Source organism: Homo sapiens, chromosome 14, assembly GCF_000001405.40.
Source record: "Homo sapiens chromosome 14, GRCh38.p14 Primary Assembly".
Classification (NCBI taxonomy): domain Eukaryota; kingdom Metazoa; phylum Chordata; class Mammalia; order Primates; family Hominidae; genus Homo; species Homo sapiens.
Genome location: NC_000014.9, coordinates 50,620,500 through 50,646,829, shown reverse-complemented (window position 1 = coordinate 50,646,829; position 26,330 = coordinate 50,620,500). Strand labels below are relative to the sequence as shown.

At 37.4% G+C, this 26,330-nt stretch overlaps 2 protein-coding genes and 1 pseudogene across 7 annotated transcripts in view; 2 read left to right on the top strand and 1 right to left on the bottom strand.

The window, feature by feature from the left end:
• The window catches only part of SAV1 (salvador family WW domain containing protein 1), a 34,727-nt gene extending 21,477 nt beyond the window's left edge, over positions 1 to 13,250 (top strand). For 2 of the 3 annotated variants that reach the window (NM_021818.4, XM_011537057.4), the window contains 3 exons: positions 1,816 to 2,086; positions 5,937 to 6,080; positions 11,446 to 13,250. In NM_021818.4, the coding sequence (NP_068590.1) occupies positions 1,816 to 2,086; positions 5,937 to 6,080; positions 11,446 to 11,647 (617 nt within the window). In that variant the 3' untranslated portion in view covers positions 11,648 to 13,250. Of the gene's footprint in view, positions 1 to 1,815; positions 2,087 to 5,936; positions 6,081 to 11,445 lie in introns of those variants that run through there. The other variant, XM_047431659.1, reaches the window with a different exon arrangement.
• Positions 8,849 to 9,139, top strand: RN7SL452P (RNA, 7SL, cytoplasmic 452, pseudogene; annotated as a pseudogene).
• ATL1 (atlastin GTPase 1) overlaps positions 13,762 to 26,330 on the bottom strand; it is a 99,987-nt gene continuing 87,418 nt past the window's right edge. For 2 of the 4 annotated variants that reach the window (NM_001127713.1, NM_181598.4), the window contains 5 exons: positions 26,104 to 26,231; positions 24,931 to 24,987; positions 23,582 to 23,653; positions 18,368 to 18,799; positions 13,762 to 14,601 (listed from right to left, as the gene is read on the bottom strand). In NM_001127713.1, the coding sequence (NP_001121185.1) occupies positions 14,491 to 14,601; positions 18,368 to 18,799; positions 23,582 to 23,653; positions 24,931 to 24,987; positions 26,104 to 26,231 (800 nt within the window). In that variant the 3' untranslated portion in view covers positions 13,762 to 14,490. Of the gene's footprint in view, positions 14,602 to 16,820; positions 16,836 to 18,367; positions 18,800 to 23,581; positions 23,654 to 24,930; positions 24,988 to 26,103; positions 26,232 to 26,330 lie in introns of all 4 variants that reach the window. The other 2 variants (XM_047431430.1, NM_015915.5) reach the window with 2 other exon arrangements.

Sequence of the window (26,330 nt, the reverse complement as noted above, 5' to 3'; positions counted from 1 at the left end):
AGTCCTTCAACTTTATCCCTTTTTCAAAAAAATTGTTTTGGCTACTCTAGTTCTCTTTTGCCTTTCAGTATACATTTTAAAATCTGTTTAATAACTATCTGTATCTACAAAAACTCCATGGAATTTTTTTTTTTTTTTTTTTTTGAGACAGAGTTTCACTCTCGTCGCCCAGGATGGAGTGTAATGGCGCGTTCTCAGCTCACTGCAACCTCTGCTCTCGGGTTCAAGCAATTCTCCTGCCTCAGCCTCCCGAGTAGCTGGGATTACAGGCGTCCGCCACCACGCCCGGCTAATTTTTGTGTTTTTAATAGAGACGGGGTTTCACCATGTTGGTCAGGCTGGTCTCAAACTCCGGACCTCAGGTGATCCGCTCACCTTGGCCTCCCAAAGTGCTCGGATTACAGGCGTGAGCCACTGCGCTCGGCCGGAATTTTTATTGGAATGACAGTAGTCTCGCTTTATCCATGGTTTTGCTTTCCACAGTTTCAGTTACCTCTGCAACTGCAGTCTGAAAATTGATGAATATGGTACAAGATCTTTCAAGAGAGAGGGAGAGAGATTACATTCACCCAGTTTTTATTATAATAATTGTTCAATTTTATTTTTGTTAATCCCTTACTGTGCCTAATTTATAAGTTAAACTTCATCATAGATACGTATGTATAGGAAAATACACAGCATACACAGGGTTAGGTACTATCTGCAGTTTCAGGCATCTACGGGAGGTCTTGGAATGGATCCCCCATGGATAAGGGGGGGACTCCTATAAAGATAAAGATAATTTCAGGAGAATTGACATCTTAACTTTATGTCGAATCTTCCAATCCGTTAATGTGATAGGTTTTTTATTTCTTTCATCAGTGTTTTGTAGTTTTTAGCATATTGGTCCTGCACAATTCTTTGGAGCTATTATAAATTATATTATCTCAATAACTTTTGTTTCCAGTTGTTGTTTGTTAATATATAAATATTAATTTTTGTATGGTGACCTTAACCCTGCTACCTTAAGCTTACTTAATAATTCTAGGGCACAGCCAGATTACTTTTAAGAATTTATAACCGGGAATGGTTTTACAAGTTCATTTTTACATTTTTTTTAAAGCTGAAATGTCAAATCTTTAATCAGGGGAAATTTTCTTTTTCCCACTTTTCTTTTGGCAGTATACATACTTAAGTAGCTTTACTGCCACAGGTTGATTATCCCTTACCCCAAAATGCTTAGGACCAGAAGTGTTTGAGATTTTGGATTTTTTTTTTTATTTTGGAATATTTGTATGTACATAATAAGATATCTTGGGAAGAGATCCCAAATCTGAACATGAAATTCATTTATATTTCATATATACCTTCTACACATAGCCTGAAGGTAATTTTACATAATATTTTAAATAATTTTGTGCATAAAACAAAGTTTTGACTGAATTTTGACTATGACTCATCACATAAGGTCAGGTGTGGAATTTTCTGCTTGTGGCAACATGTCAGCTCTCGAAGTTTTGGATTTTGGAGCATTTCAAATTTCAGATTTTTGGATTAGGGATGCTCAACCTGTTGTTAAGTGTTTGTATGGCCTGTTGATGGAAGCATCAGCCAAAAAACCCTCTACTAATTTCAAAGTCTAGTTCCTCCCCCTTTTTATAATTCCTTAATAGTAATACCGACTAGTTTTATGAAAACCATCATAATGGGCATAATCATGAATTTAAATAGAAGAGTACAATCAGGATAGTTAATGTTGTGACTTTGCTAGCTGGCACATTTTTTGCATTGAATAATTGTTCTGTTTCTTCTCTATCATTTTCTCTTTCCCCGTAGGTATTGGGAGAGTTGCTGCTACATCTTTAGGAAATTTGACTAACCATGGTTCTGAAGATTTACCCCTTCCTCCTGGCTGGTCTGTGGACTGGACAATGAGAGGGAGAAAATATTATATAGATCATAACACAAATACAACTCACTGGAGCCATCCTCTTGAGCGAGAAGGACTTCCTCCTGGATGGGAACGAGTTGAGTCATCCGAATTTGGAACCTATTATGTAGATCACACAAATAAGAAGGCCCAATACAGGCATCCCTGTGCTCCTAGGTACAGTATCAACTTTATTTTCAACTTTTTGTTTCGGGATTGTCTAATGTTAGGTTTTGAACTGATATTTTCATCTAAGAGAATAGCATCCTAAAGCTTGAGATTTGAAAGCCTTATATTTCAAAATTTACATTTTTCTCTGGACATACATTTAGTAATAAATGACTTTAATAAGTTAAAAAAATACTTTTCTCTTTAAAAAAACCTCAAAAACAAGATCATTGTTCTTATGATCAGATTCTGCTGTAGTAATGCCAGAATGTTTTTGTTATAGGTGTCCAGAAAATTAAATAATTAAAGCTTCTGCCTTCTTACACTTAAATTTTTACAAATAATAACAGACCTACCCCCTAAGTCAGAATGTACAATTGAATTATAACATTTTGCTGTTTATTCTATTTCAGACATGATTGTATGTTCTGTTTCTTGCTATTACTAGACAAGAAAGTGAAAATTGGGACTGAACAAAACATCCCATTTCTGTTTAATAAATATAGCCAGTAATTCTTTGTGCTGTTTTGATTGATACTGGGCTGGGTAGATCTGCTTTGTTGCCAGACTTTTAGCCCTGTGCTGCCTGATAGCCAGTTGTCACGTGTGGCTGTTGAGCCCTTGAATGTGATTAATATAAATTGAGATGTGCTGTAAGTGTAAATACACACTGGATTTCAAAGTACATAAAAGCTAGTATTAGTTTAGTAATGAAGTTGCAAATATTTCAAATTAACCACATTTGAGCTTCAAAAGCTGAGCCACAAGATTAAAAATGAGTAAAATATCATCTGCATTTTGATAAATGTTGCTTAGTGTCATCTGGCATAATACAGTTTTTTGGTTATAGTGGACATTTGTATTTTCTTAGAACCATTAAAATAGTTATGAAAATGTGTTTTAGGATTATCAACTGGAAAACTAAGCTTTATCATTATTGTGTTGTTTTAATTATTTTATGTATTTGGATTTATTAATTCAACTTTGAAAATCTGTTTTTTCCCATGATTCCATGTAGTGGCACCCAATCAGTGTTTATTCAACTACTGAGGTTGTTGTCCTTTGAAAGAATCAAACCTGTGGTGTGGTCATCAGGTGGCAATGATTGTTGCAGTCCAGATAACCAGATTTGAGAGTTTACTTTTCTGTTCGTTGACATGGTTTGGCTCTGTGTCCTCACCCAAATCTCATCTCAAATCGTAATCCCCATGTATCAAGGGAGGGACCTGGTGGGAAGTGATTGAATCATGGGGGCCATTTCCCCCATGTTGTTCTGGTAGTGAGTTCTCATGAGATCTGATAGTTTAAAAGTGTGTGGCAGTTCCCCCTTCTTTCTCTCTCCTGCCACCACGTAAGATGTGCCTTGCTTCCCCTTCATCTTCTGCCATGATTTAAGTTTCCTGAGGCCTCCCAATTATGGAACTGTGGGTCAATTAAACCTCTTTTCTTTATAAATTACCCAGTTTCAGGTAATTCTTTATAACATTGTGAAAATAGACTAATACAATCATCATTAACCTTATGTTATTACAGAATTTTAATAGTTTTTTAAAAGCAATTTCATAATTAGTTAATTTACTTCTCTCAGCAACTTGGTAGAAGTTGAACAAGAGAGAATAAACGCTGCCCTTAAGCTCACATATGTAGTATTACTAGTTGTCTGGTTGTCTATCTTAGGCCAATCCTTATACAAAATTCTTGACTTACATTAGGTCATTTAATCCTGAGAACAACCACCTGTGGTATGAATTTATTATTCCACTTTTACAAGTATGGAGGCTGAGGCTTAGGGATAGGAGGAGTTTTGCTTACATTTACATAGTTTGTAAGTGTTAAAGCTGTGGTTCAAATCCAGGCGTACCTGACTTCAAAGTCCCAATTCTTCTTCACCCCCAGTTGTACTATCAAAGAACATTTTCCTTTGAACCTATTTAGGAAAGAAGAGTTGAAGATAGAATTCAGTTCCATTTGCATATTGATCTTTTAAAATTGTTAACCACAGCATAATCTAACCTTATTTTAATCCCAGTTTAGTAAACAGTGACCTTTTCTAATATACACATGCATTTTTTTCTCCCCATTGTTATATATACACCACATTTTCTTTTTTTTCTCCCTAACTTTTATTTTAGGTTCAGGGGTACATGTGCAGGTTTGTTACATGGGTAAATTGCATGGCTTGGGGATTTGGTACAGATTATCACCCGGGTAATAAGCATAGTGTCTGATAGGTAGTTTTTCTTTTCTTTTTTTTTTTTTTTCTGAGACGGAGTTTCACTTTTGTTGCCAAGGCTGGAGTGCAGTGGCGCGATCTCAGCTCACCTCAACCTTCGCCTCCCAGGTTCAAGCAATTCTCCTGCCTCAGCCTTCCAAGTAGCTGGGATTACAGGCATGCATCATGAAGCCTGGTTAAGTTTTGTATTTTTAGTAGAGACGGGGTTTCTGCATGTTGGCCAGGCTGGTCTCGAACTCCCGACCTCAGGTGTGAGCCATCACGCCCGGTCCCTGATAGGTAGTTTTCAATCCTCATGCTTCTCCCATCCTCTGCCCGCAAGTAGGCCTCAATGTTTATTGTTCCCTTCTTTGTGTCCATGTGTACTCAGTGTTTAGCTCCTACCTATCAACATGTGGTATTAGTTTTCTCTTCCTGCATTAATTCACTTAGGATAATGGCCTCCAGTTCCATCAGTGTTGCTGCAGACTACATGCTCTTGTTCTTTTTTATGGCTGGGTAGTATTCCATGGTGTCTGCATACCACATTTTCTTTATCCAGCCCACCATTGATGGGCATTTAGGTTGATACCGTATCTTTGCTATTGTGAATAGTGCTGCAATTAACATGTGCACACGTGTTTCTTTATGGTAGAATGATTTCTATTCCTTTGTAGAAATAGTCCCATTAATGGGACTGCTGGATTGAATGATAGTTCTAAGTTCTTTGAGAAGTCTCCCAACTGCTTTCCACTGTGACTGAACTAATTTATGTTCCCACCAGCAGTGTATAAGCATTCATTTTTCTTTGCAACCATACCAGCATCTGTTATTTTTTGACTTTTTAATAATAGCCATTCTGATTGATGTGGAATGGTATTTATTTCATTGTGCTTTTGATTTGCATTTCTCTAATAAGCAGTGATGTTGAGCATTTTCTCATATGCTTGTTGGCCACATATACACATAAATCTTTATGTTTGAAGGTGCAGACCCCTTTTGGTCTCAAATAGACCCTTTTGGCCGCTTCGAGTTCAGCTATTAACCTTCAGGTGGTTCAGTGCTTTCCTTACACTTTCCCATATAATATCTCCACTCCCCACAGCATACACAGGCTATTAGAACTAAAGTATGGTCTTTTTTTTTTTTAATCTCTGTGACTTAAAATAGGTTCTGATCAACTCTGACTCCCATATGTTCTCTTGAGTTGGTAAAAGTTGAAAAGTTATCTGCATTGGATAGAGATATTTCAAACACAATACTCACTGCTGCGTCACTACATATCCTAACCCCCATTTTCAGCCTACGGGAGGAAGGAAACATCCTTTCTTAGAAACTGTCAACCTTTCTGATATGAATTTACAGCTGATGACTATTTCTTGTGGGAATTTACTATTCTAGTTTTAAGCCTTTGTATAAAGGTTAAAACTTAGTTCCAGCTTTTTCATATCCTCCTTTGAACCTGTTTTTGAAAAGACTAAATACCAGCCAGAAGAAATATCTTAAAAATACATTACCTTTCAGGTGGTGTAAGTCAGTTTGGACAGAAGGCACACTGAAAAATGCTTAAGTATTATTTGTTCTTTATAATTTCTTGTTTAGATTTTAAGACCTTTATCCTAAAGAATGTCACTCCTTTCTTCTTAGTGTACCTCGGTATGATCAACCACCTCCTGTCACATACCAGCCACAGCAAACTGAAAGAAATCAGTCCCTTCTGGTACCTGCAAATCCATATCATACTGCAGAAATTCCTGACTGGCTTCAGGTTTACGCACGAGCCCCTGTGAAGTAAGTACATTTACAACACAAATTTGTTTGAGGAGTGAGTGAAGGGCTGAATGGAGTCTCTGGGCTGCTCGATCCAAGTAGTGTGCCATATTTTACTCTTAATAATATTCGGCTTCTAAGTAATACGTGACTTGAATAAAGGATGTCATAGTTTATAATGTGTGAAAATCATTAATTAGAAATATTAGTTCTTCAGACATTTATAGAATCTTCATTTCTTTGTGTGCGGGCCTCTGCTATTAGGGATACAAGTAAGAAACTTACATTCTCATAGGAGAAGATTAATTTGTAAATAAGTGATACAGTACTTGTGATAAAAGTAAGGACCTGGGCTTGGCACAGTGGCTCACACCTGTAATCCCAGCACTTCGGGAGGCTGAGGCAGGAGGATCTCTTAAGTCCAGGAGTTCGAGACCAGTCTAGGCAACATAACGAGAGCCCCATTTCCACAGAAAAATTTTAAAAATTAGCCAGGCTTTTTGCATGGTCTGTAGTCCCAAGTACTTGGGAGGCTGAGGTGGGAGGATAGCTTGATCTGAGGAGTTCAAGTTCAGCCTGAGCAACATAGCAGGACTCTGTCTCTATAAAAAATTTAAAAATTAGCAGCATGCTGTGGTGTATGCCTGTGATCTCAGCTACTTGGGAGGCTAAGGTGGGAGGACTGCTTGAGCCCAGGAGTTTGAGGCCGCAGTGAGCTATGCTTGTGCCACTGCACTCCAGCCTGGGTGACAGAGCATGAGAGACCCTGACTGCCCCCCTACTAGTGCCAGAAAAAGGAATGATAGCAGATGGCATTTTCTTTCCTATTTTCCTCTTTTCTTTGTCCCTTGATACCACCTGACCTACAGCTGTATGTTTGTATGCTGATTCTAAATAGTACATAATATCTGTATGCGTTTTTATTTTCCTTAAATCTGGAAGAATATGTGCCTAACTGTTAACCTTAGTATTTCTGGGGGTGGATATGGTTGAGGAGAGTTATTCTTTCTGTTGTATGTTATTTCTACTCTATAGTCATGTTTAATAAGAAATAGCATAATCTTTCCTTTTTGGGGGAAGAGATAGTACTTAAATGGAATTCCTGGTTTCTTACAGAAAGAAACAGATTCCTGAAGATTATAGTCTTTTTGAATTCTGTGGTTCTGTGAGCTAACTATAAAACTCAAGGAAACTAGCAAATAGGTTGTAATTCTTCCAAAATGGGCCAGACTGACAAAAAGGGAGCAAGTACTATACTTCTTTACTGCTTAAAAACTTAAACAAGAGGTCTGGAAGCCTGTTGCTTTCTAGTTGATTCTAATTAATGTTGCTGAAGAGGATGGAAATGGTTAATATTCTATCAACAAAGGGTGAGTGGTTATCTATGAATTAGATAATGAGAATCAATTATCACAACAAAAAGAGACATTTTTGCAAAAAAAATTTGCATGTTTCTTCCTTTTGTTTTTCAGACAATTGAGAATCTGAAATTCTTTAATCCTGAAATTCTTTAATCCTATCTCTCACAGTAATTTACCAACACAATTTTTGCATATACTTCTAAAACTTGATTTAGAAACAGACTGTGTTTTAAATTTGTATTTAATTTTTGTAAAGTTATGTTCCTGTGTCTGCTCACAAAAGTCTATAATGCTTGGTATAACTGTACTCAAGCTGAACTATAGGATAAAATTTTAAAAGTTAGGCCGGGTGCGGCGGCTCATGCCTGTAATCCCAGCCCTTTGGGAGGCTGAGGCGAGTGGATCACAAGGTCGAGAGATCGAGACCATCCTGGCTAACACAGTGAAACTCTGTATCTACTAAAAATACAAAAAATTAGCTGGGTATGGTGGCACGCGCCTGTAGTCCCAGCTACTCGGGAGGCTGAGGCAGGAGAATCATTTGAACCCGGGAGGCGGAGGTTGCAGTGAGCCAAGATTGCGCCATTGCACTCCAGCCTGGGTGACAGAGCGAGACTCCATCTCAAAATAAAATATAATAAAATAAAATTTAATCTTTGACAGCAAAAACATTGTCAAGAACATATTTACTTTCTGTTATTTCTCACACACACACCAAAACACTAGTCCTCAGCAGTGTGTGGCAGGGGTATTTTTTATTCCAGTGGCTTGGCAGTCCTGCAGTGTCACCATTGACCCTGCTCTGGATACAGGTGAAAAAGAGGGAGGAGTGGACACAGTGTTATGGCGGGTGGGTGCAGGGGACTTAGGCTACATGGTGATACCTGGAGCTGAGGATAGCAGCACTGTTGATCTTGAAGTCAGCATGCAGTGTGGACAGGTTATTTTTGGTAGCATTATAGCAACTGGCATTTGTATATATGGCTTATTTATAAGTAGTATTTGAATAGAATACTGCCCTAGGAAAAACAGAGTGAAAGAGATGCTAGAAGCATGGACTACTGGAGTGTTTTACACCCAATTTTCGGAATGATTTACCTGTGTATATACAGTATAAATGACTAAAAGTTAAACTTGTGGAAGCAAATTTCTTGGCTAGTTAAGAAGGAAAGAATGGGAGTTTATACTTTTCAGAAAAAGAAGGAACACTTAGGTGATTATAGGCAGAAGGGTAGTAACTATGTAGAAGCAACAGAGGAAAGAATTTGGAATAGGATTTCCATTCCATGCTTTGCAGTTTTTTCACATCTGTGCCCTTCTTGGAGTGCACTTTCTTCCCCCAGAAGGATTTTCTCTAATCTGATTTTGTTGCTTCTACCCATAATCGTACTCTTGATGCTGAATGCTGATTGGCAAGTCAGAAACTTGGCCAGGCATGGTGGTGCACCTGTAATCCAAGCTACTTGAGAGGCAGAGTCAGGATTGTTAGAGCTTAGGAGTTCTGGGCTGTGATGCACTATGCCAGTCGGATGTCTGTACTCTTTGGCATCAGTATGGTGACCTCCCAGGAGCAGGGACCACCAGGTTGCCTAAGGAGGGGCGAACTGGCCCAGGTTGGAAAGGGAGCAGGTTAATACTACTGTGCCGATCAGTAGTGGCATTGTGCTTGTGATTAGCCACTGCACTTCAGCCTGGGAGACATAGGAGATCTTCATCTCTTAAAAAAAAAAAAAAAAAAAAAAAAACTGACAAAATTGTTTGAAGATTTTTTCTTCCTTTAGACAAAACTTGAATACTTATACAGAATGATATTCGTGTCTTAAAAATAAGTATAATATTTACCATCTTATTTTTGTTCTTTGTTTTCCTTGCTAGAAAGTACACAGATGATAGATTAGTTTAACATTGTTGTAGTTCACCTGGTATAAATGGTAACCATCTTGACTTAGTAGACATTGCTGAATTGCCTCTTAGCTAACTCTGGGAGATTAAGATTTTTTGTTAGGAATTATGAATTTGTTTCCAAGGAGCACATAAAATCTTAAGTTACAAGAATGGTGGATGTTCTAAGAAATACCTTATAACTGTTTCTTCATGGAGGCTCATTGAGTATTTCTTACAGTATCACTCTAATTTATGTTCACAAGTGGTTGGAGTTTCCCATTAAAAAGAACAGAGCTTCCTACCAAAGAAATCTAAATCTATTAATAAATTTGCAGCTCTCAAGTAACTGAGTGAAATTGGCAGTCCAATTAAATATATTTACCTTCCAGTTTTTGCATGTTGTATTACTGACATTTCTGTTACACATACTCAAGTTGAATAGAAACATGTCAAAATGCCAAGTATAGTGGCTCACACTAACTGCTCGGTATGTTTTCTATCTCCCTTTTTTAAAATCTCATTTTAAAATATTAGACAGTCCTTTTGAAAGAAAATGGTATAATATCAAAGAACCACTGGGTAGGAAATACTATAAACGATCATTAAAAATAATGCTAGAGTTTGCAATCAAAGCTTCCTATTATGTCTGCTCTGCAGTATGATTTGAGAGGTATAATTTCGGGTATAACATGCGTTTCCCTAATTCAAGTTCTTTGTCTAGTCTTAGTGGATATTAACATTGAAAACCACTATTTTGAAGCATCTTGGTCCATAGTTCTCTTCCTTTTTGAACTTTTAGTCACTAAGCACTTTTGCAAGAGGTAAAGAGCCTCTTTAGGTTTTAGTGTTTTTCATCTTTAAAATGAGAATATTAATTACAGTGCTGTCTTCATCACATACTGAAATGGAACTATGTAGCCGACTACTAAAGGTACTACTGCTAAGCAGGGATCTACTTACCACTGAAAGACTACTAATGGTCTTCCATGATATATGTAAACAGAATCTTTTGTGAATCCTTCACCACACTGAAGCCTTCTATAGTCTACTCATTCTCTCATTTTAAAAAGTTTATTCTTTCCTTCTTTAGTTTTCCTGTTTGTTTTTTTAGATGCTGTGTACTCAGCCTCAAGAATACTTAGAGCCACGAATTGAGGGTTCCTCTTCATTTCTCCTTCTGTTTGGTTCCTTGTTTGCTGTTGTGAATAGCATTCCTCAAAAAGATGCATCAACATGAATGATGCAAATGACCATCCATTTTTGTGCATTATCATTTGCAAGCACAATATGGTCTAAAGTATTCTTAAGTTCCTGACAGTTAACTTTTGATGAACTTATAAGTAGCACAAAATATGTTCTTCAGAAATTATAGAACCACTGTAGTTTGAAATCTGTGTTCAAGGTTGTCTGGTGTTAATATTAGAATAATGGGTAATTTAAAGAAATAGGTATTCTTTAACTTAAATTGAAATGAAGTAATATTAGCAGTTTTCTCCTTTGCTTAGAAGAATTATATGTAGGCCGGGCGCGGTGGCTCCCAAAGTTAATCCCAGCACTTTGGGAGGCTGAGGTGGGCGAATAACGAGGTCAGGAGATTGAGAACCTCCTGGCCAACATGGTGAAACTCTGTCTCTACTAAAAATACAGAAGTAGCTGGGCATGGTGGCGCATGCCTGTAATCCCAGCTACTTGGGAGGCTGAGGCAGGAGAATTGCTTGAACCCGGGAGGCGGAGGTTGCAGTGAGCTGAGATCACGCCACTGCACTCCAGCCTGGTGACATAGCAAGACTCTGTCTCAAAAAAACAAACCAACAAAGAATTATATGTAAATAGCAGTTAATAACTCAGATTTTTAAAAAACTGATTTATTTATTTTTAGAAACAGGGTCTTGCTATGTTGCCCAGGCTGGCCTCAAACTCTTGGGCACAAGCAGTCCTCCCACCTCAGCCTCCCACCTCAGCCTCCCAAGTAGCTGGGACTATAATAGGCGCCACCACTGTGCCCAGTTATTTTTAATTAAAACTTATGGTTTGTTTAGTTATAAATAAAGTTGACATTTTAAAAAACAGACTAGTTTCTTGCTAGAAATACATGTTTATGTATGTGTTGTGAACATATATATGATTGTGTTTTAAAACAGATATGACCACATTCTGAAGTGGGAACTCTTCCAGCTGGCTGACCTGGATACATACCAGGGAATGCTAAAGTTGCTCTTCATGAAAGAATTGGAGCAGATTGTTAAAATGTATGAAGCATACAGACAAGCCCTTCTTACAGAGTTGGAAAACCGAAAGCAGAGACAGCAGTGGTATGCCCAACAACATGGAAAAAATTTTTGAGCTGATTTTTTAAAAATTTAAGTTTTGTAAGAGCTTTAAAATATTTTCACAGATAAAAAATTGCAAACAAGTACTCTGGTTAATAAATGCTGCTTCCTTTGTGGAAATTATAAAATTCTAACTTTACATGTATTTTGTTATTAGAAATTTTCTTTTATTGAATGAGAAAAATTAGTCTATCATTTTAAGAGCCAATATGGCAAACACTTTCAAATACTGTATATTAGGAAACTGTTTTGGTATTCTTGATGGAAAAAAACGCAGCGGAAATGTCATTATGAACAGATGTTAAATAGGAAATTATTACTTGTTAACTTCTTACAGCAGTAGTACCTTCTTTAAAAAAAAAAAAGAATCTGCGGTATTTTTTTAAAAAAAAAGTTTACCGCTGTAGTGTGAAATATTGTCTGGAAAGGGATGGTTTAAATATTACCATGATGTAGTTGAAATATAAAATAGGATTTGGAACCTTATTGTGATAAATATTTATATATGATGTATGTTTGTCTCCCCTCTCCAAAGTAAGGAACCCAGCTGGGCGTGGTGGCTCACTCCTGTAATCCCAGCATTTTGGGAGGCCGAGGTGGGTGGACCGCTTGAGTCCACGAGTTTAAGACCAGCCTGGGCAACATGGTGAAGCCCCATCTCTACAAAAAATACAAAAAAATTAGCCGGGTATGATGGTGTGTGCCTCTAGTCCCAGCTACTTGGGAGGCTGAGGTCAGAGGATGGCTTGAGCCCAAGAGGCAGAGGTTGCAGGGTCAAGATCGCACCACTTGCACTGCAGCCTGAGAGAGAGAGAGCCAGACCTTGTCTCAAAAAATAAAAAATAAAAAAATAAAAACAAAATAAGGAATCCTTTTAAAGCATGTTGAGAAAGTATTTTTTGGTATGAATGGGTGACGGGCCTTTTAATCTTTCAGGAATACATATAAGCAGGAATACTTAGCCTGTATTGGGAAGGTGCGTGAAACTCAAAGTTGCTAACATCATCTTCCTTATTTTCAGCCAGTGCTGTTACTGCATTTAGCATGGCTCTGACGAGGCAGTGGAGAGTTCCTGACAGCATAGCATACTGCCTTCTGACAGACTGGGTTAAGCTACCAAAAATGACAACCAGGGATTCAAAAAAAATTTTTGGTCATTAAATCGAATGTATATTATTACTTTTTAATTTTCTAAGTATTTATCACAGGACTTTAACACCATATATTTCCCTCCCAGTTTTTCTCCCCTTTTGGTTTAATAGTTAAAACATTTTTCATAATTAGTGCTGTACATTTGATTGCAAACAAATTGGTGATACTTCTAAACTATAACTATAAATCTCTAGAATTCTGTGAATTTCAACATTATTTGAAGTAGTTCTTCAGTTATATTTACATGTGTTGTAAATATGTAAATATACTTTTAGCTTAGGAAGTCTTCCAGAATACAAACTACTCCCAGTTAGATATCAGTGAGTTTGAATAACTGAAGAAATGTTGACAATGTTAAGTGTTTGATTTTATATAACAAGCTTATTAAATATATTTTTGTGGAAACTAAGCGCGTGGTTTTTGAGTCCATGTTTTAGACATAGTGCTGTATTTCATTTTTCTGTTCAAAAGGCCATAGACAAAGGAATCAATATAATTGAAAGGGGTAATGAAAAGGGGTATTGAAAAATGAAAGTGTGGCTAGTGGAATTTTATCACTGGGAAAAGATAATTTGCTGAACTTGTGATCAGACTTTTCTAAGATGTCAGTATATATATCTTATGAACTCCCACACTCCTCTATCTTAATTGTTCTTTCCTGTCACTTCTTACTTTATATCGCTACTTAATTATGGTGTAGCCATTTCTGTGACAGTCTTTAGAAGTTTCTCTGTTTTGGACCTCCTAGATAAGTATTACTTTTTTCATTAACACACTTTCCTTCTTCCTCTAAGAAGTCTGTTCAGTGAAACTCCACTAGAGATTTTAGTCATTAAGAACTAGAAGTTACCTAAAGGAATTAGCATGTTTTGTAAAATAGAAACTTAAGTTTGTACTGATGTCAACATTAAATAAAATGCATCTTGAGTCTAAAAAAAGAGATAAACCTTCATCATTCTATATCAGCACCTCTCATTTTCAAATTCAGTAAGCATTTGTTTTTAATCTTAGGAACCAGAGTAAACTTTAATAATAGTTCACATATTAAAAGAATAAACCTATGAAGAATACATTCTTTGTGTACCAAATGAAAAAATATACAATGCAGTGAAACTCACATATACAAAGTGATTTTTTGTGCATTTTTTATCAAGAGGTTTATATTCTATTAAACCATGTAAAAGCAATATCTGGTTTTTGATAAAGCAACTAAGGAACTCTAAAATGTGCTTAAAAATAAGATTGTGATATATATAAGATGATACAGATTAAATCCAGCCTGCTGAGTTATGATGCTGTGTTTTAACAAATGGCTAATGTGAAATAATTTAAAATTTTTTCTGTAGAAATTAAATGAGCATATCCAAACGTGGAATATCACATGATTTAATTATAACCCAGTAGTAGAATTTAGTAAATTCAAGCAGAACACGTGTACTGTTATCATAAATAGACAAATACTTTATAACAGCATTTTTGAAGAAAAATCAGGAAATTGTACATGTTAACAAAATAGTATAACCATGCATACATACATCTGCTTATTAAACACTGAAGTAAAAGAACTAATCCAGTTTGCAGTCTTCAGAGGTGTTTAGTATTTTACTCCGTTCTGATGGAAGCACTTTGAATGTTTGCATGGAGACATAAAACTGAATATTTAATTGACAATTGGTCATGCACCTGTATTTCTTAAAATTTGCATTACATTTTTTTCTTTTCTGATTGTTCAGTAGATTCCGACTTTGGTGTAGGGAAAGCTTGATGATACAGATGTCTGTGGGTTGCTGCTGCACTGTAAAGCTTGTACAAAGCCTAGAATAAAAGCATCAAAATTATAAAACATTTTATTAAACACACAGATGTAAAATTTTTTCCTTTTTAGTTTATCGTACTGTATAAAATTTAGCATGTTGAATTTGAAATCTTTTTTAATCGATATATAAATTATTATCTTAAAATTCAAAAGTATTTTCAACTCCTCAATGTGTGCATTAACACTTTTGTGTGTTGACCTGTGTGGTGAATGTTTTATTCTCAAACTGTGTTTCCTTTTACCTTGCATACCTCTTGGAGCAGTGAGCTTCTACTTTGCCCCAGGGGTGTGCTGAAAATTCAAATTGTGAATATTAGCAGTTTTAGATGAATTGTAAGACCTCATAACTTCTGATTGGCAGTAACTATTATGCATAGCTAGGCTACTTGCTTTCTGGGCTTCCAGTGTTTTCCTGAGTGGGGCCAATTTTATTCTCCATCATTTACTGATACAGTCATGCAGCTAAGCACATATGGTGTCCTTCCCCCAGCACAGTAGGATCCTTCACTTTACACGCTCTTGCCTTGTTTCCGTGACTTAGCTAATATCTTACAAACCTTATTCAAAAACATTACCTCAGCAAGCTTTCCTCATTTAAAACTACCTCTTATTGTTCTCTGTGGGTTTTTAATGATGTTTGAATCATAGGAATCTCTGTGTATTGTATATTGCTTTATATAAGTGTTCATAGATATCTTTGTTTCCTGGCCCCGTTAGCTAGTGTCTAAGATTTCATCCCCTCCTCTGACTTTCACATACTTGACAGTCAGTTACAAATGACTTGTCTGATTTAGTTCTGGAGTTCGTAAAGAGTCTTTGAATATTTTTAAAAGCTGCATAAAAGCTTGAGATCCTTTAAATAGTAATCTGTTCCCAGGAAATTCCATTAATTTTTATCATTTGTGAGTCTATACCTACTTTCTTTGGATCTGGTTTTTTTTTGTTTTTGTTTTTGTTTTTTACTTTTTGAGTTGGAATCTCACTCTCTCGCTCAGGCTGGAATGCAGTGGTGGCACGATCTTGGCTCACTGCAACCTCCTCCCAGGTTCAAGCTATTCTCTTGCCTCAGCCTCCCCAGTGGCTGGGACTACAGGTGCCTGCCACCACACCTGGCTAATTTTTTGTATTTTTAGTAGAGATGGGGCCTCACCATGTTAGCCAGGCTGGTCTCGAACTCCTGACCTAACGTGATCCGCCCACCTCAGTCTCCCAAAGTGCTGGGATTACAGGCGTGAGCCACCGCGCCTGGCCTTGATTTTCTTATGGCATTACGTCTGTATGGTACCATCTTCAGATCTGTGAATGTATATTGGTGCAACATAGTATTGTTTTCCATTATATTCTGATTCTAAGGCATTCAATTTAATTCTAATTCTCTTATATTTTTTCTTAAGCTTTGATTTACAAAGCTGAAATTTGCTTTTGCTTTTTTAATGAACTTGCTTACTGAATTTTGCATAAAATAACTTCTTATTGACTTGTAAATAGTAAATGGTATTTGATTCGAGGACATAATCCAATTATATGCCACAGTAGAAACTGAGGAAAGAATTATCTCTATAGTTGTTCAAGATCAGCTTTGCTTCCTGAAGATAATGACCTAAATGATTCCAGAGTGGTAATTTTTCTTAGTGTAACAGATGATTCCTTCGTGGATGCCTAGAGTCTTTTCTGAGATATGTAGTGTTGCACATGTGCGGTAGGAGAAATGAACACTAATTTACAGGTCAGGCCTGAGGTCTGCCAAGAAAGAATACATACTGGCCTGGGCCCTGCTTAAAGTGGTATGTATTACTGTCAGTCAAAAGCCAAAGTTGAAAACAACTTCTAAAGGTTGTAGCTACATTTAAATAAATACCCTCCAGTAGTTACATTTCCTCAGGTTTCATAACTGCTTGCTTTACTCTGCAGTACAGCAGAGTCCACCATTTCAGAGCTTAAGAATTTTGAAGTTTTCTACACATTCATGAAACAAATACTGATGATATTCAATTCTTAGTTTTTGTGTGTGTGTAGATCAAATCATACATGATGTCTAGAAAAAGTTAAATATTTTAAGACCATGTTAAAAATTCACAATTACAAATTTAAATGTTAGAAGTCACCAAAGATTGTTCTAATCTACATAAAGACATCTTTTAATGGCTTAGTCAGTTTATAAAATAATATCATAATGTTTACACATACATAGCTCTGAATTTTAAAAAATTTAACTTACCTCATTTGTACTTCCCTGTGGCAAAGGCAGATTAAAAAGAAAAAAGAAAAGTATATATCCTGCTTTATTAACAGCATTATAATCAACTTTGCTTACAATATTAATTTGTGAGCATTTCAGAACAGATACTCCTGCAGATTTTTCAGTTTAGATTACATATTTTATCAGAATCTTTGAAGAACTCAATTCTGTATTCCTCATAGGTTTTAGCATAACATAAGTCTAGGAGGGTTTTGACATTGACCTCAACCCCTCTTAAATCTTTTGTGGTTGAGGGACTATTTCAGAAAGTGGCTCAGAGGATCCAGTTTTTACTTCATTCATTTCCCATTGTGCTACCACTAGTTTATCTCAGCTAGATCCTTCAAAGGCACGTTACAATTATGTTATAAAGTATATATAAGTAGGGTTTTTTTTTTTTTTTTTGGGAGATGGAGCTTCACTCTTGTTGCCCAGGCTGGAGTGCTGTGGTGCCATCTCGGCTCAGTGCAACCTCCGCCTTCTGGGTTCAAGCGATTCTCCTGCCTCAGCCTCCCGAGTAGCTGGGATTACAGGCATGCGCCACTATGACTGGCTATTTTTGTATTTTTAGTAGAGACGGGGTTTCTCCATGTTGGCCAGGCTGGTCTCAAACTCCCGACCTCAGATGATCCGCCCACTTTGGCCTCGGAAAGTGCTGAGATTACAGGCGTGAGCCACCGCACCTGGCCATAAGTATGTTCTTAATGCTGGAAGAATTGTAGCTATTACCTGCTGCCTACAGGTACAGAGACAATCTGAAGTAATCTGATACTGCTTTTGGAAGTTTTTAACTAAAAAAGAGAATGATATGACAACTTATGATAGTGGTTCAGATAGCTCCTAACAAAGCTAATGCTAATCAAATCATAGGTTGTAAATATGAGATAATGTTAACACAAGTCATAATTAGCTAAATAAAAGCTGTTGTCTCTTACAACTTTTAATAGATATAACATTTTTAGAATAATAAAAAGTAGGCTGGGTGGCTCACGCCTATAATCCCAACGCTTTGGAAGGCTGAGGCGCGCAGATTGCTTGAGGTCAGGAGTTTGAGACCAGCCTGGCCAACATGGTGAAACCCCGTTTCTACAAAAAATACAAAAACTTAGCTGGGGATGGTGGTATGCACCTGTAGTCCCATCTACTCGAGAGGCTGAGGCACAAGAATTGCTTGAGCCTGGGAGGCGGAGGTTGCAGTGAGCTGAGATCACGCCACTGCACTCCAGCCTAGATGACAGAGCAAGACTGCCCCCCTACCCAAAAAAAGAAAAAAAAGTATATATACTACTAAACTGATGTATATTTTTTTAAATGCTGAAATGTTAACTGGAAAATAGTTGTGTAGGACTTCACATTTTACACAGTATTATATAGTTAGTTGCTTGTATCTGGGCAGGTCATAACATTCTTGATGACTGGGGCCCAATTCCTGTTGATCTGTATTTCCAACATCTAATGCAGTGGCTGGCACATGGATGACATTCAAATGTGTGCTGAATTTAGTTGTGAATTAAAGGTGTTCTTACCTGGTCCCACAGAGCTGCAGCCACCTGGTCTATTACAGCTCCCAGCTCTCGGTATTCTCCAGAGTACCGGATATATGCCCAAGTGCACAGGGTGATAAGGGTCAGTCCCATTATCATATTGCATAGGCTAGCTATGATGTCCAAACCAATGAATCCAGTCACACCAGCAATCACATATGTGATAAAGATGACTACAAACAGTGTGGCTGGGGTACGAGCTGCATGGAAGATATTTTTGCTATCATTGTGCTTGATATATTGGATGTAAAGTTCATCTATTTCACTCTCCAACTGCTGCAGGTAACGCCGGCTAAATTCTTCCCCACCCATCTTCTTCACCCCTCGGAATAGCTTCACAGATTCTTCCTTAAGTTGCAGGTGTTTGGTCTGCAAGTCATTTGGGGCCAGAAATGGTTTGTCACCACCACAAATCTGTATCAGATAGAGAAGTATTTGTTTATGCAATGCAGAGTAAAATTGGCAACTGTATCAAAATTTTTCACTTAGCTAGTTGAGTTTGTTAGAATACGTTAATAATCAGGAGCCTGCATATATGTTTTGTCAGCCCACATCTTTCCACCCCCTATCCACGAGGCATGACTATAAATGGGACTGGTATTTTATAGGTGGCTTAAAATCATTTTAAATTTTTCTCTTTTTGACATGGAAAATAATATTTATCACTTAATCCAAGTCCTTCAAGATGAAAAGACGTGTGACACAACATGAAGTGCAAACTGAGTTCATTCACAGAATGAATCCAAATCTAAGAAAACTACGTATATCCAAATTCTAGGAAATCTAACTACACTGAAGTCATGTTAACCAATGAGGTTTAATAAACAATGATCAATGCTATAAAGCTCTCAAAGTAAACTGTGAAATACATTCTTTAGCAGTTTTACTGATTTTTATTTGAATGGAGCCAATTGAGTATTTTCTTCCAGAAACTAAGTTAGGAGTATATTAAATGTTCTTGAATAACATTTTCAATTTTTTGAAAAGTTACAAGGGTAATCTCAGTTAACCATACCATTCACTTTGGTTACAGGCATGCCTCAGAGATAATACATGTTTGGTTCCAGACCACTGCAATAAGCAAGTCACATGATTTTTTTTATTTCCTAATTCATATAAAAGTTATGTTTACATTATGTAGCAGTCTAGTAAAGTGTGCAGTAGCATATCTAAAAACCATGTACATAATTTAAGAACACTTTATTGCAAAAAATGCTAAGGATCATCTGAGCCTTCAGCACATCAATCTTTTTGCTGGTGGAGGCTCTTGCCTCGATGTCGATGGCTGCTGACTGATTAGGGTGGTGTTGCTGAAGGTTGAGGTGGCTGTGGCAATTTCTTAAAATATGACAACAGTAAAGTTTGCCATATTGATAGACTTCCTTTCATGAAAGATTTCTCTGTAGCCTGGGATGCCATTTGACAGCATTTTACTCATAGTAGAACTTCTTTAAAAATTGGAGTCAATCCTCTCTAACCCTGCCAATGCTTTATCAACTAACTTTATTTCATATTTTAAAGCCCTGGAAAGGAAAAGAGTAGGGGGAAGGGGATGAAGAGAGGTTGATTAATGGGTACAAATAAAGCAGTTAGAAGAAATAAGACAGTGTTCAATAGCTCAGTAGGGTGACTGTAATTAGCAATAATCTACTGTACATTTCAAAATGGCCAGAAGAGAATAATTCGAATGTTCCTAGCATAAAGAAATATTAAGGTGATAAATACCACACTTTCCCTGATTTGATCTTTACACATTATATGGATGTATCAATTTATCATATGTACTCCAAAAATATGTACATCTATTATGTACCAATAAAAAATATTCTAAACCCTTTGTTGTCATTTCAACACTGTTCACAGCATCTTCGCTAGGAGTAGATTCCATCTCCAGAAACCACTGTCTTTGCTTATCCATAGGAAGCAACTCCTTATCCGTTAAGAGAATACAAAATTGAGTCACATCTTCAGGCTCCACTTTTAAGTTCTCTTGCTGTTTGCACCACACATGCACTTCCTTCCTCCACTGAAGTCTTGGACCCCTCTCAAAGTCATCCAGAAGGGTTGGTATCAACTTTTTCCACATTCTTGTTGATATTTTTGCCTCCTATAAACCACAGATTCTCTTCATGGCATCCAGAATGGTGAATTTCTCCTGGAAGGTTTTCAATGTACTTTGCCCAGATCCATCAAAAGAATCACTATCTATGGCAGCTATAGCCTTACAAAATGTATTTCTTATTAACTTTTGAAAGTCAAAATTACTCCTTGATCCTGGGCTGTAGAATGGATATTGTGTTAGCAGGCATGAAAACATTAATTTCCTTAAATACATCTCCATCAGCGCTCTTTGATGAATAAGGTCATTGCCAACGAGCAGTAATATTTTGAAAGGAATCTTTCTTTGTAGGTCTGAACAGTGGGCTTAAAGTATTCAGTAACCCATGCTGTAAACAGCTGTACTGTTACATAGGCTTTGTTCTTCCATTAATAGCGCACAAACGAGTAGGTATAGCATGATTTTTTTTTTCTTTTTTTTTTTTGAGACGGGTCTCACTCTGTCACCCAGGCTGGTGGTGTGATCTCGACTCATTGCAAACTCTGCCTCTTGGGTTCACGCCCTTCTCCTGCCTCAGCCTCCTGAGTACCTGGGACTACAGGTGCCCGCCTCTGCGCCCGGCTAATTTTTTGTATTTTTAGTAGAGACGGGGTTTTACCGTGGTCTCTATCTGACCTCGTGATCCACCCACCTCGGCCTCCCAAAGTGTTGGGCCTCCCAAAGTGCAGGTGTGAGCCATCGTGCCCGGCCTAGCATGATTCTTAAGTGCCTAGAATTTGGGGAATGGTAAATGAACACTGGGTTCGACTTAAAGTCACCAGCTACAAGAAAGTCAGCCTGTTCTTCCAAGCTTTGAAGCCAGGCATTGACCTCTCCTCTCTAGCTGGGAAAGTCCTGGATGGCATCTTCCAATAGAAGACTATTTCATCCATATTGAAAATCTCTGTTTACCGTGGCCACCTTCATCAATGATCTCAGGTAGATCTTCTGGATAACTTGCTGTAGCTTCTACATCAAGATTTGCTGCTTCACCTTGCACTTTATGTTACGGAGATGGCTTCTTAAACCTCATGAACCAAAAACCTCTGCTAGCTTCCAACTTTTCTTCTGCATCTTTACCAACTCTTTCAGCATTCATAGAATTGAACAGAGTTAGGGCCTTGCTCTGGATTAGGCTTTGGCTTAAGGGCATGTTGTGGCTGTTTTGATTTTCTATCCAAACTAAAGCTTTCTCTGTGTCAGCAAAAAAGCTGTTTCACTTTTTTATAATCTGTGTGTTCACTGGAGTAACACTTTTTTTCTTTTTTTTTTCAGACAGAGCCTCACTCAGTCCCCCAGGCTGGAGTGCAGTGCAGTGGTGCGATCTTGGCTCATTGCAACCTCTGCCTCCTGGGTTCAAGCGATTCTCCTGCCTCGGCCTCCCAAGTAACTGGGACTATGGGCATGTGCCACCATGCCTGGCTGATTTTTGTATTTTTAGTAGAGACAGGGTTTCACCATGTTGGCCAGGCTGGTCTCAAACTCCTGACCTCAAGTGATCCACCTGCCTCAGCCTCCCAAAGTGCTGGGATTACAGGTGTAAGCCACTGGGCCCAGCCTGGAGTTGCATTTTTAATTTCCTTTAAGAACTCTTCCTTTGCATCCAACAGCCTGGCTAACTAATTGGTGCAAAGGCCTAGCTTTTGGCCTATGTCAGCTTTTCATATGCCTTCCTCACTAAGCTTAGTCATTTCTAGCTTTTGATTTAAAGTGAGAGATGTGTCTCTTTGAACTTCAACACTTAAAGGCCATTGTGGGGTTATTAATTGGCCTATTTTCAATATTGTTGTGCCTCAGGTAAAAGAAAGGACTGCAGAGAGGGAGGGATGGGGGAACTGCTGGTTGATGGAGCAGTCAGAAAACACATTTATCGATTAAGTTCACCATCTTATAACAGCACAGTTAATGGCACTCTGAAACAATTACAATAGTAACATCAGCACTCACTGATCACAGGTTGCCATAACAGATATAATAATAATGAAAAAGTTTGAAAAATTGTGAGAATTACCAAAATGTGACACAGGCATGAAGTGAGCACTTGCTGTTGGAGAAAGGGCGTCAATAGACTTGCTTCACATAGGGTTGCCACCAAACTTCAATTTGTAAAAAGTGCAAGAAAGTGAGGCTCAATAAAATGAGGTATGTATGCCTGCATTTGAGATTTAATTATATCGAGAATTCTTTCATTCTGATTGTCCTTATAAATAATGCCACTCCATATACTACATTTTCCTTCATTCTAAGACTTCAATTTGAACGCAATTTTAATTTCATAACATTTTGTTTTTTGAGACAGATTCTTGCTCTGTTGCCCAGGCTGGAGTGCAGTGGCACAATCTCAGCTCACTGCAACCTCCACTTCCCTGTTTCAAGCAATTACCCTGCTTCAGCCTCCCAAGTAGCTGGGATTACAGGTGCGTGCCATCAGGCCTGGCTAATTTTTTTTTGTTATTTTAGTAGAGAGAGGGTTTCACCATGTTGGCCAGACTGGTCTCGAACTCCTGACCTCAGGCAATCCACCTGCCTCGGCCTCCCAAAGTGCTGGGATTACAGGCATGAGCCACCGCACCCAGCCTAATTTCATAACATTTTCAAGAGAAAATAATATCTATCACAGTAGTACATATACACAATAATTATTAGATCCATCCTAATTTGGAGTATTAAAATGAGGAAATGTAATAAATAGAAATAATGGCCCTTAGGGTTTTTGTTTTTTTTTTCCTAAAAGGTTTAATCTTTAAGAGAAATACCAAAATTGTGGAATATAAGGAGGTGTAGTGGCGAGGGTACCACATGCTATTTTGGCTACTAGATTTTATAAATAGTGGAAAGACCTGGCGCTCCCCCCAAATATGTGAATAGGGATATATTACAGAGAGAGGCAATTCATTTAAAATGCCTTCAAAATTGTGCACACAATGTTTTTAAAAATATTTCAGGAATATAATAAATAGACGTGATACAGGCTGAGGAAAAAGTCAAAGCCACCTCATTGCATGTGTGTACAGTGTAACATGGAAGAAAAAAGAGAATGAGTTGCATGAAGGATACTGGTTTTGTTTAAGACAGAATTTAAAATATTTAACTCTTACCTCTTCCATTTTTTTGTTGTATGTGTCCTTGGCAGTTGCCACGGCTGCTAAATTGTTAGCTTCTGCTGTGGCCTTTGGACAAAGTACAAAATATGATGTAAAATGCAGTTCATATTGATTAAACTTCCACAGGCAGTTCACATTTCAGAGCATCATGTGCAAGAAATGTGCAAGAAACCAAAGTCCTCAAAATAATTTAAAACTGTTATAATATTTCTACTACATTTTAAAAAGTAGTACAAAAGTTTCAAAAATGCATAAACAGATTTTTACTCAATACACAATACTTCTAAAATGAATTTTCATTTGGAAGAGTTTTCCTCTCAAAAAATATTTTTTAGCCTGCCATTAAATGCTGGGAAGAAAAAAATCATAAACCCAAACTCATGGGGAATAATACATAGTACATTTTATAAATACTAAAATACACACATATATCTAAGGACTGCTGCTGACAGAAGAGTGTATCACTGATAACAAAAAGGAACTATTAAGAACTTACATTTTAAAAATATATAAGGGAACTAGTTTCTCCCTTTTTAAAATTTATTTATTTATTTATTTTTTATTCTTATTTTTTTTTGAGACTGAGTCTTGCTCTGTTGCCCAGGCTGGAGTGCAGTGGCGCGATCTCGGCTCACTGCAACCTCCATCTCCTGGGTTCAAGCAATTCTCCTGCCTCAGCCTCCCAAGTAGCTGGGACTACAGGCTTGCGCCACCACGCCCAGCTAATTTTTGTATTTTTAGTAGAGACAGGGTTTCACCATGCTGGCTAGGCTGGTCTCGATCTCTTGACCTCGTGGTCTGCCCGCCTCGGCCTCCCAAAGTGCTGGGATTACAGGCATGAGCCACCACGCCCGGCCAAAATTTATTGACTTATTTTTTAGATATGAGGTCTCACTATGTTGCCCAGGCTGGACTCAAACTCCTGGGCTCAAGTGATCCTCCTGCCTCAGCCTCCTGAGTAGCTGGTCCTACAGGCACATGCCACCGTGCCTGGCTCATTTTAAAAAAATGTTTGTGGAGACTAGTTTTTTAAAACTTGCACCTGCTTTTCTACTGTGTGTTACATGTGTGAATCTAAATCATAATAGAAGACTGTTCTAAACAAATTTAGTGCAAAGAGAATGAAAACCCTTTGGTATAAAGTGTTTGTGTCTCAACACAAGTGAGGCTGCAATATGTTTATGTGAAACATGTTTAGATGAACACATAAATAGGTAAAGTTATTAGGCAAATAATCTTCCAATAAATTATTCTGTCTAATATTGTTATTTGGTTATTTCTGACAGCCAGAAATCTTAGCCTTAGTCACGTGTCTTAAAACATGCCTCCTCATTAATAAATACCTGTAACATGGATTTGGGATGTGGTAATTCTTCACCTTGATAGATCTTTATATAAGCCTAAAAAAAAAGAAAAAGATTCATGTTCAAGCAATTCCATTCAATATTTCCTCTAATTCTATGAAATTGCATTCTAAGTTCTTGACATTTCAAAAAATATTTTCAGGAACTTATAACTATTTTATCTTTCTCATACTTAAATTCCCTTTTTTCTTAGTTCATGTTGTTTCCCTTTCCTGAAATGCCTTTTTCAAACATCTCTGTCTGCCAATCTGGCCCTTCTTAAAGGCTCAACTCAATGCCACTCCCTTTAAAATGTTCTTAGACCCCTCTGCCGGGAGTAACGCCCTTTTCAGTTACCCGCAGGAATCTGTACCCTGCTGATGTCATAAGCTTTATGGAACAGACCCTTGTGAAGGTCCTGAATCTCCTACCAAATTGTAAGCACCTCCACAGTGTTACACGCAGTAAAAATTCATATTTTAGATTAATAACATGGCATTTATTGCTGACAATCATGAAGGTAAACAGATCACACAGAACCTATATGATAGCATATTAAATGACAAAACATGAATTTTAAAAATTGATATTTTAGTCCTTGGAGCATCAGTCCACAATTGGGTTGGTAACTGAAATTCTCCAGGATATATACGGGTTGGTAAAAAGTATTCAGTGCTGGTAAAAAGTATTCAGTGCTATCTAAGGAAGGTAAACAGGTAAATGCAAATTTAAAATAATTCCACTTCATATTGGCTCTTGGTGCAGAGAGTAAGAAATGGGGAAGTATTTTCTTCAGTAGGAAGGTATCCCCTTGGGGAAAATCTTCAGAATTATGAAGGTAAAATTCAGAATAGACCATGGACCCTGGGAAACACCCCATCCCCCCAAAAGACTTTTCCAACTCTTACATTCATATTTCAAAATACAGCTCCCTCAAGATAAAAGGGGACAATAATGTTACCTATATGTAGTTTCCTCAAAAGAATAATTTCAGAAAGTAAGCTTTCTGAAAGGTTTTGAAAAAGCTTTTTAGAAAGGATTTTTAAAATCCTTTTTATAGATTCCTCGTACCTTTGCTCCCATATTATCGGGTCTATAATTTTTGTTTATAGGAATTACGATCCAATATATGTCAAATCTATCCCACGAATGCTCTAGAAATGAGAGTGATACCTTGAAGTACTCCACCAGACCCCGGCAGGTGATTTTATTCCCATTGATCTCTTTAATATCTAGGCTCTCGGGACTAAGTAGCCAAGGAATCAGTATTTTCAAGTTTTTGATGAATTCATCATCTATTTCTACAAGTAAAAGCAAATCCATTATTATTTTTGGAATCCTTCCCAGTCCTCCATGCCACAGAATAAAACATCCTTTGATCTCCCCCATTTCCTCCCCAG